Source organism: Homo sapiens, chromosome 1, assembly GCF_000001405.40.
Source record: "Homo sapiens chromosome 1, GRCh38.p14 Primary Assembly".
NCBI classification, from domain to species: Eukaryota; Metazoa; Chordata; class Mammalia; order Primates; family Hominidae; genus Homo; species Homo sapiens.
In genome coordinates, this window is record NC_000001.11 from 101,194,471 (window position 1) to 101,206,075 (window position 11,605).

The 11,605-nt window shown below is 39.2% G+C and overlaps 1 annotated feature.

Annotated features, from left to right (window-relative positions):
* Positions 5,198–5,247: an enhancer, noted in NCBI's record as "active region_1394". NCBI's record gives its function as "activates an Ori minimal core promoter by ATAC-STARR-seq in GM12878 lymphoblastoid cells {active_cell/tissue: GM12878}" and the evidence as "EXISTENCE:reporter gene assay evidence [ECO:0000049][PMID:35858748]".

Consider the following 11,605-nt stretch of genomic DNA (forward strand, 5'->3'; position numbering starts at 1 on the left):
GAGAGAGAAGCAATTATTTTGCTACATTAAATATGGTTGTGCTCTCCTTTATTGCAATATTTTTTTCCTTGGATCCATACATGACATGACCCTCGTTATCCTCTTGCTTCTGTAGGTGATCTCTCTCACTAGGCAAGGGAAATGGTATGAGGCAAGGTGTAAGTATGGGAATTAAAAGAAATTTTAGGTGACAGTGAGTAGACCAGCCTGGATTTGTTTTCAGAAACTGGAAATTAATATTGGGAGACACCCAGCTTATTCAGGATCTTCACTGCCAGGATAAGAAGTTTAGAAACTATTGTTTGGGTAATACAATATTGTAAGGAGGTATCAAAGTGGTTGAGCAGGAGAATGTTCTCTGCATTTTAAAGGAAATTGATCCCCTCCTATATTCCACTGAAGAATCACTGCCTTATGCGACTCAGCTGGAGACAGGCCTTCTGTATATACTCTAACAAAGCCTTTGAGGAGAGGAGCCAAAGAAAAATGTTCCATCTCTGGATATTCAGCTTTTCATGCAGACTTGGCCTTGTTTTCATTTCACTCCAGATCCTTTTTTGTCTTTACTCTGAGCTCTATTTCAGCTGTATTTTTACATTTTCTTTTCTTTTTTCTTTTTCTTTCTTTCTTATTTTATTTTATTTTATTTTTGACAGAGTCTTGCTCTGTCACCCAGGCTGGAGTGCAGTGGTGCAATCATGGCTCACGGCAGTCTTGACATACGAGGCTCAAGTGATCCTCTCACCTCAGCCTCCTGAGGAGCTGGGACTACAGACTTGCACCACCACGCCTGGCTAGGTTTTTGTATTTTTTGTAGAGATGGGGTTTCACTATGCTGCCTAGGCTAGTCTCGAACTCCTGAACTCAAGGCATCCACCCACCTCAGCGTCCTAGAGTGCTGAAACTACCTTCTTCCTCTTCTTCTTCTTCTTCCTCTTCTTGTGAGATGGAGTCTCCCTCTGTCACCAAGGCTGGAGTGCAATGGTGTGATCTCGGCCCACTGCAACTTCTGCCTCCCTGGTTCAAGGGATTCTCCTGTCTCAGCCTCCCGAGTAGCTGGGATTACAGGTGCCTGCCACCATGCCCAGCTAATTTTTGTATTTTTAGTAGAGACTGGGTTTCACCATATTGGCCCGGGCTGGTCTCAAACTCCTGACCTCGTGATCCTTCCCGCCTTGACCTCCCAAAGTGCTGGGATTACAGGCATGAGCCACTGCACCTGACCCTACATTTTCTTCTTGACTTGACTTTACCATCAATCTTTAAAATGTGTGGAGACCTGTGTTAAGTGCCCTCAGGGGCACTTAATAGTAGGCTCACCTACTATTCTAATAGCTTTTTCTAAAGAATTCTGGTGACAGAGAAGGAATCAACCCCTTTAGTCCTTATTTTCTTTAATTATTTTACTACATTAAATATTGTTGAGCTTTCATTTTTTGCAATATTCTTTGCCTTGGATCCATCCATGATGTGACTCTCATTATCCTCTTTCTTCTCTGGGTGATCTCTGTTTCTTACTAGTTTTTCCAATCTTCCAGCATACTCAAAGTAAAGAATTCCTCAAGACTCTGTCATCACCCTTCTCTTCTACATTTTCTACCAGGCAATCTTATCCACAACTACATTTTCAACTATCTTCTCCGTGCAGATGATTCTAAAGATGGATCATCAAATGACTGGTATTTGTTTTTGCCAAGATGCCTGTGCAGCAACTTAATCTCAACATGTCCTAAAAGAAGCCATTTTCTTTTCTAAGGTAGCCCTTCCTGGTGGTTTCTCTGTTTGCAGAAGACGACATCATTACAGTCTAAAAAATTTACTCCTGAAAACCTTAACATACATAGACTAAATCCTTTTTCTCTTCATTTCTTTTCAACCTTTTGACTTTTTTTAGCCAATTAACATTTTATCCTATTTCTTACATGCTAATTCTCATCTATACTTTTTTTTTCCCCCATTTTCCTTACTATTAGGTCAAGCCTTCATCCCCTCTTACATTGACCATTTAAAATTCTCTAAGGAAGTTCACTTGAATCTGTCCTATATATTGCTGGCAAAATGTTCTCCTTAAGACACTGTGGCTGGGCACAGTGGCTCACACCTAATAATATCAGCACTTTGGGAGGCCGAGGCTGGTGGATCACCTGAGATTAGGAGTTCCAGACCAGCCTGGCCAACATGGTGAAACCCCGTCTCTACTAAAAATACAAAAAAATTAGCCAAATATGGTGGCGTGTGCCTGTAGTCCCAACTACTCAGGAGGTTGAGGCAGGAGAATAACTTGAACCCAAGAAGAGGAGGTTGCAGTAAGCCAAGATGGCACCACTGCACTCTAGCGTGGGCAACAGAGAGAGACTCCATCTAAAAAAAAAAAAAAGAAAGAAAAAAAAAGAAAAAAATACACTGTGTCACTCATCTACTCAGAATCCTTCAGTGACTCCCATTCTCTTAAAGTGATAAAGACAAACAACTACCCCAGCATCCAAAGTTCTTGGTACACTAAATCCAATCTACCTTTCTGAATTTATATGGTACTATTCTCTTCAGCATCATGTGATCCACACAAACAACTACTCACTGTTTCCTGAACATTTCCCACACTCTGTTACCCCCGCATTTCTGCTTACACTGTCTGTCATGATTAGCCACTCCAATAGAAACCCCGCCATCCTCCAAGGTCCAGCTCAAATTCAAATTGTATCAGTCAGGAATGAGGGAAAAAGGCCTTTGCAAGAGATTGGGTAACTCTACACGTACTTTTCATACTCTGTAATATCTAGTGCAGTGACCAATGCAAACTAGGTTTTCAATCAGTGAATGTGGAAATGTTATCTGAATGTAAAGATACCCTCCTTAATGTATCCAATGCAGTGCTAACATTTCTTTTTATATAATCTTTTCACCTTTTAAAAATTATGTTTTGGCCAGGCGTGGTGACTCATGCCTGTAATCCCAGCACTTTTGGAGGGAGGTTGAGGTGGGAGGATCCCTTGAGGCCAGGAGTTCAAGATCAGCCTGGCCAACATAGTGAGACCTTGTCTTAAATAATTTTTTTCTAACTAAAAAAAAAGAATTACATGTAATTGACTAACACATTTTCATCATGAAAAAGAAATCAAATATTTAATGAAAAGCTGAAGGCTGTTGACCATCTCCAATCTAGTTCTCCACAAAGAGGGTCACAGTCAGTTGTGCCATGTATGTCTTTCCAGATCCATCCCTGTGCTTTTGCATATCTATACAAATAAGTAGTTGCATTCATGAAGGATAAATCAAAACATATTTAAAGAATGCTGAATTCTAAGTTTAAAATCAGTGTACACATGGATATGAAATATTCATAAGCAGTATCATTATAATAATCATTTTGAGTATGTAGATATTCTTAATAATAATGTTGTATTTTTTGAACATTTATTCTACCAGGCACTCTTCTAAGTGCTTCAGGTAAGTTATTTAATTCTTACAACTCTGAAGTAACTGCTATTATTATCCTCTTCATAGAGGTGAGGAACTGTACCCCTATCAAAGTTTGGTAATATACCTAGGGTCACACTTCCAGCTAATAAGTAGAAGAGCTGGGATGCTGACCCAGGGAATTTGGCTCTGGAGCTTGTATCATTCATGCTTCATGTTGCTGTTCACTGAGACGGGATACCGTTGACTGTGACTTTTTCTTTCTCTTTTTCTTTTTCCTTTTTTTTTTTTGAGACGGTGTCTTGTTCTGTCACCAGGCTGGAGTGCAGTGGCAATCTTGGCTCACTGCCACCTCCGACTCCCAGGTTCAAGCGATTCTCCTGCCTCAGCCTCCCAGGTAGCTGGGATTTACAGGCACATGATACCACACCTGGCTAATTTTTGTATTTTTAGTAGAGACGGGGTTTCACCGTGTTGGCCAGGATTGTCTTGATCTCCTGACCTCGTGATCTGCCCGCCTCAGCCTCCCAAAGTGCTGGGATTACAGGCGTGAGCCACCACCCCAAGCAGACTGTGACTTTTTCTGCTATGTCCTCACAGTTTCTCCTCCATCATGGTGGTAGCTGCTCCATCCCTGGGCTCATTCCTCCCCATGTGTTCACACATTTCTGATGACTGCCTGGTAGTAGCTCTGATCTGACTATTCAGCTAAGTTGAGAGGGAGAGGAGACTTAAATTAAACAGCTACTTGATTATATTCATTCTTCCCAGTAGTATAAGCTCTGAATAGCCTTTAAAAAGTAATAGTAATGTAAGCTCCATAGTGCCAAAAACCATATTCCTCATGCCTGGCACATAGTAAGCAGGCAGCAAATATGTGTTGAAATGAACTGAATTGCAAAAATTGACCAGGGAACTCCTAAGTCGGTCTGTTCCCTCTTCCAACAACTGAGGGATAGTTGTGGAAGCCATGAGGGGAAGAAAGGAATGAAGAGAAAGAGCTACACGGGCTTTTTATTTTGCTTATTGTACCAAATGCATGTATATGGTAGAAAGATGAAATAGAAGAGTTTATAGTGAAAAGCAGCAATTCCCTGTCCCTCCTCTCCCGACTGCCAGTTCCTAACCCAGGGACTGGGGCTATCACTTGAAAGGTTTTCTGTTTTTAGCACTTCTTGTGGTTAGTGTCATACCTTTAAATAGCATGTCTATATCATTGCTTCTTTAATCAACTTTAGAAATAACATTGTAATTCTACTAAGAAATGTGAGGATTTATGAACCTGTTCTTTAAAATATGGATCTGTGGTAGGCCTGGGGTGACAAGAGGTAACCCTGTTTCTTCTCTAAGGATTGCCAGAGCTCCCCGTGCATAGTTCCATTAAGGCAATCAACAGGTTTCCTCGCGCAGGCTGAGCAACTTGAGGACATTAGTCATCTCCTTAAATTTGTGTTTCCAAGACTTATTGGTGACTTCCAGGTAGCAGGCAGGCTCATTTACATCTATTTCTTGAAAGGATCAATGAATGACTTCTGTTGATAAAGGTACTGAAAAGCTGATGAATCATGAAAAAGGGAAGTTCTTGATAACTGATCATCCAAGAAGCAAGTAAACAACCGGTTACACTATTCACTGACCAAATCTTCCGGCCACCCCAAACAGTCAAAACTTGACATTACCAAATCTTTTCTGTACTGAGCATGGGTGGCGTGCATCCCCAGCAAGGGGAAATGTTCTCAGTTTCTAAATTAGTAATAATATAAGCTATTTAAATGTAAGAATTGTCATTACTATCTAGAAGAATTTTGGGAAATATAAAATTATGGTTGATGCATTATTTTACTATTTAAATTAAGTAATCTTTTCAAACAGGAGTTGGAAATGTATTCAACTTTTTTTCTTATTTCTTTTTTTAACCCAAATCAAAAATGGTCAATATATTCCACTTGTAACAAATATTTTTAAATACTAATTTTAATCAAATTTAACTTTATTATATTCTAGTCTAGAATCGGAACCTAAGCATTAAATATCCAGGGCCACCATTAGCTATTTTCAAAAATAAATGTAAGTTCCTCCCCAAATCTAATTTTTCTCCTGATTTCTCATTTCAGTAAATGACATCACCATAGACTAAGTAACCCAAGGCAAAACTTGTTTTCTTGGCTTGTCTTTTGCCTCCTACATATGGTCTGTGATCAAGTCCTGGTAGTTCTATTTTCCTAATATCCCTCGCATCTGTCTTCTCCACCACTCCCATTGCATCTCCCTTCATTCGGGAAGGCTTTCATTAGTTTTTTCCAAAGTCTTTTCAAGAGACCTTCAGTCTTCAATCTTCGTCCCCCTACTCAGCCATCCCTCTGCCGTGTACCACCAGAGTGGTCTTTTAAAAACACAAATCTTATATTTGTTCAATGTACCCAAGTTGCACAATAAATTGTGTAAAGTTATCCTACTTAAAAAAGGTTTTCTTCATTGGTCTCCATACTTGCCAGTGAAAAACTTCATAATTAAAATTTTAAAAGAGGTCTTCTTCAGACCTCTGTCAAAGCATTTGTAGCTAGATAGGGAATAAGAAGGAAGATGGTTTCTAAAAGTAAGGAAAAGCGGTAGTATCACATCTCTCTGTCAATTTTGGATGCAGCCCATAGTCAAGGAATATAGAGAACAGGAGTAAAGGAGAAGATTGATAAGACATAGGCAACTGTAAAGTTCATGTTCAGGATCAAGCTCCACCTCAGTGATGAACGGAGAGTTGGGCAAGGCACGGAAAGTGAGGCATAACTGCAGGAATGCAGGGAATGCAGAAATCCAGAGGCTCCTCAGCACCCAGGCCTAGGCCTGACCACACAGATTCTCAGGCTGCTCTCAGCAAGACTCAGTTCTAGGCCTCACCCCCACATTGAGCTTAGTGCTCCTAATATACTGCCTGCCCCCTGGCAATGGAGTCTGGAAGAGGAGTGAGCCTTAACTCTGGGGAGCAAGAAACAGCATACCCAGGGGTTGCCCCCAATTCCAGGAAATTCAGGTCTGTAGAATCACATGGAAATATAAACTGTTAACTTCACTATCATTGAATGGAATAATTTACATTACATTAAAATATACCAATGTATAGTAATTCCATGAAAGTTAAACCACTGCTTCCAAGATTCACTAAAAGCCAAAATGCTATTTGAGTGAAGTCTTGCTCAGAGAAATGAGCATAATGGTTTTATTCTTGTAGACTATGATTTTTATCAATGATGTGATTAGGCATTTTTTTTAAATGTTGCAATTTGGAGAGAAAAACAAACACTATAGTTTGACTCTCAAAAGCTGCTGTGTAACTCTATGAATTTTATGTCATTTTAGTCAATCAAATGTAACTTTTTTTTTGCTTTGAATTAGGTATTCATTTTTTTCTGAAAAAAGAGGATAAGAAATTGTTAAACTCAATGAACTGCAACGAAAAGTTGATCTGTCTTCCCTAGCCATTATAGGAAAGATAGCACAAAACTGAGATTGGTATTTACACAAAAACAGATTCATTATCGTAAAATAAAGAGCATTTCTAATCAATTTGCTCTCTTTCTTTTAAAAATGCTAAACATTATTTTCATGTTATATATACATTTCTATCACTGATTTCCCTTTTTGCCTTTATCTCTATCTAACAGAATGTTGCATCTGATATTTAGTTTTCAAATTACTTTTAAGGAACTGAACCCTCTATTGTCACTTAACTTCAATAAGAGGATTATTTTAAGTATTAAAGTGTTTAGTCTTAACTCAGCTACCGTAGGAGGAAAAGACTACTGCATTTGGAAGTCCTTACACATAACCATAGCACATAGACAAATGAGAGGAAAGGACAGGCATGCAGAGATATGTTTTACCTTCACTGACTTAATTGATTTTGATACAATGCTTCCACATAACAATGGATTTTAAAAATCAGTATCACATGTTCTCTTAGAGAAAGGATCTGGATAGGAGTAGAGAGGCCAGATCTCTTAAAATGACTAGGAATGACAATTGACCCTTGAACAACACAGGTTTGAACTGTACTGCTCGACTTAAACTCTGATTTTTTTTTTCAATAAGTGCAGCTGGACCTCTATATGCAGGTTCCACCTTCACGACCAAAGGTGAGTGGAAAATACGGTATTCGGGGGATGAAAAACCCATGTATACGGAGGGTGGACTAGTGGACTAGGGGACTAGTAATTGTGGAATTGAGTATAGGGGAAGGTAGGCCCAGGAACCAATCCTTTTCGGATACAAAAGGACAGCTGCATTCTAGATAGAAATGGTTTTTAACGGTTGCCAAGGAGGACAAAAAGAAAGACATTTTATTATAAAATGAGGAGCCTTCCTTTTAAATAGCTTATTAAATAGAACTTTTTAAAAAATTCTGTGCAAATATTGAAAAACATACTTTAAAAAATAAGGTTGCATCTCTTTAAATGATCAGTTTCAATGTTAACTTCTCTGGCTTATTGAATTATTTAAAAATGGGTAAGGTTTAAGTATTTGTCCTTACTTTGTTTCTCCTACATACTTGAGCCAGTACATTGTCAAGTCTCAATCACTGTAAAAGAGGTTTATGATATTAGAAGAATCACCAAAGCCAGGTTAAAAATTAAGCATAACAGATAGTATTTTGTTCTAATTTTTGCCTTCACATTATATTTGATAATAGATATACCATCTTATATGTTTGGCAGTCATTCTGCTAGGTTATGGGAACATATGGGCTTATGAAGTTGTATCCAAAATACCACCATGCTGATCCCATCATCAAAGAATTTGGCTTATAAAGACCCTTGTGATTACATTGGGCCCACCCAGATAATCCAGGTTAATCTCCCTATTTTAAGATCCTTAACTTAACCACATGGGCAACGTCCCTTTGCCATTAAAGCATTATATTGAGAGGTTTTGAGGATTTTTGAATGTAGACATCTTTAGGGGAGGGAGACAGTATTCAACCTATCATGGCCTTGTTACCTGTCTACTTTTATTCTACTGTATTATATTTTTACACATTTATTTTTTGCCATTAGGTGTTATAACAAACAATATATTTGACTTGTTTTAAAATTATTCACTCTATGTAATGGACATTGCATATTTTTGACTCCGCAGTGGATAAGGCTTACAGAAGGTGGGCCCAAATTCTTGCTACAGTAGATAAGGGGCCAAATCCTCTCTTTCCTCATATCTGGCACTTAGGCTGTGATCCTATGGCTGTGGCTTAGCCCATGTGGGCTCCAACTCCATGTCATAGAGACTGTTAGGCATTGCTCACAGGAGGGTAGTGGCAAGGAGGGTCCAATGGCAGGATATCCATCCAGCTCCTTGGCTGTGTTTCCTGCAGCCTAACCTCCCTTGGTTCCTGCCATTTATTTCTGAACCTGGGCTTCCAGCCTTCCCTTCTGAGAGCTACCTGTTATCTTTCAAATGAATTTCTTTTATGCTTGAGTTAATTAGAGTTCGTTTCTGTTGCTTTTACAAAAAAACTCTTCATTGATATCAGGTTCTTCTTGTTATTATTATTAGTTTAAATGATTGACTGTAGCCTAGGGGCCTCATCATAATTATGTATCACTAATTGGGTATAAAAAATAAATTGCAGTAAGAGGGAAAGCATTTATTAATCCAGACTCTTAACCCCATTATAGCTAGAGCCTATACAACAAGGAATGGCTCCTTGAAGATGACCTTGAGACACATATTACCTTTTGATCATCAAGGAATGATTTATGTTTTGTTTGGGTATTGAGGTTTTTTTATGAATTGACAGTGCCAAATATGAACTTCACTCTCAACCATAATATTTGATCGACTAGAATTCTCTAAGTCTTTAACCACGAGATAAATAGAAATGTGTTTAATAGTTCTGTCATATTTGCCAGAACTTGATTTTTTGTAATTTAAAAATTTGGGTATTATAGCAAATTTTGAGAAAACAACACATTAAAATATGTTCATTGTTCAAATGAACATAATGTTTGTGTTTAGACTCCTTGGTGGGTAATATTTTGTCCATAACGTTTACTGAATGCATGCCATGTGCTAGCCTCTGTGTGAGATGCTGGGTACAAAGATGAATAAGACTACTGGCTCCTTGTACAATGCCTGGCAGTGGCAAGAGGCACTCAGTGAATGCTTTCTGAATTAATGACATAATCCCTGCCTCTAAGGAGCTCTATCCTGTGGGAAAGAAAGACACCTAATTGGGGCATACCATGTGCCCAAAATAGTGAATTTGAGTGAGAGTGAGTATGGAGAGGAACTGTCGGCATGTTTCAGATGCTTTCGTGAGTCCTTAACATGGTGTCGAGGTCACACTGTCCTGTCCAGTGACACCTCCTGGCTCTGTCAGAATTGTTATTCAGGCCTCTCTTTCCAGGCCCTCATAGTTAAGCCTGTGACACTGTGTTTGAACTTCTATTAATAGGCCTAGTCAGCATCTCAGCAGATTGCATCTTAACATCAAACAGCCAGAATCCCCAACAATGACTTCTTGGCGCAAAGCCAATCCTCAAGCATCAAAACCATATTCCTTGCAAATCAGCTCCACGTGATGATAAATAATGGCATCAGGATTCCAAACCAATTATCTCATAGGGAAAGGCATATTCTTCAAGGGCACACTGGGCTTTATTTAAAAAAAAAAAACAGTAACATTGCTGATGCTAGCCCTGAAATGTCAACAATGGACACAGCCAGCTAATGAGAGGAATAACCAGAAAAAGGTGTATAATTCATGTCCCCCACATTACACTAACATGGAAAAGTTCAAGAAAATACGTGTTTAGGCACAATTTTAAAGTGCCTGACCTGAGCCCCCACTGGAAAAATTACTGGAACCCCATCTTTGTCTGGAACGGTGCAGTGGAGTAGAAGCATGTGCTTTTCAATTCAGATCTCAACACTTGAATTAGCTATGTGATTTTACACAAATCATTCTCTAAGCCCCAATCTCTGCACCTGTAAAATGAGAGATATTAAGCTCTACCTCATGTATGTTTTATGGATAGCAATAGCATGTCAACACTCCAATAAATAGGAGCTTTATGGTTAATTAGAACTAGTATGCCAAACACTATACTAAGCTCTTTATAAACATTATTTTAGTTCTCATGCCAACCCTGTGAGGTAGGTATTTTACCCCCAATAATAGATGCATAAAGTGAAACTCGAATTAATTACCCAATACCCTGGGTAGTGAGAGCGAGTGAATTCAAACTCAGGCTGCTGACTTCTATGACCAGACTCTTAGCCACATTACGATGTTTCTCTCTGACAGCATCGGAGCCTCCTCTTTGCTGGCTTGTTCCTCTCTATTGCTCCCATGATTTCTACTGTCTCCTTGTTGATCTCACCAGGACAAGACAGTCATCATCACTGTGTTCACCTGGTTCACTGGACAATCTGTCTGTTGGGTCAAACTCCCATGGCAGATATGCAAGAAAGAACCTCTGTAGGAACCCTCATTTAGTTGATTCAGTTTAAAATAAAATATTATATTTGACTCAGCAACACAATACCCCTCAATCATCTGTAACTAAGCCATTAACTAAAGCATATTGGGAAAAACACTGGCTTTGTGGGGTCTGGCAACTTGTATTTAAGTCCCAGATCAGGGATCATGAGCTGTGTAAATTTAATCAGGCATTTAATCTCTCTGAGCCTGTTGTATTCTGAGTTAATGTATGTGTCTGGTTATTCTATGGTTTTCCCCCAGATTCATTCTCTCTCCCCACAACTCCCAGTTCTCTACTCATTTCTATACTCTAAGGATTTGCTGCCTCCTACTAACCACATTGCCAGGACTCCCTTGCCATCTGGCTTCTAGTTGATTTTAGCAGCAGATCAGAAGGTGGGAAGAGAGAGGGAACAAAATGATTCTGCCCTTGCTCACTGCTTCTGTACCATATACTGGGAAGCAAACTGGGAGGCCCAACTTCCTTGGCTTCAGCTTTTCATAGAGCTCTGGGTAATACCGTTTTCACTCCATATCCCTTAGGTTCTAGGGCAAGTAATGGCTTTTTACTCTTGCTACTCTCTGGGTGCCTCAACATCCATTGTTTGCTCTTTAATCTCACAACTTCTGTAAGTAGCTCCTTCATTAAAGTCTCTTCATTGCACCCTCTGCGTAAATTCTATTTTTTGCTTGGAACCTGACTGGTATAGTCTG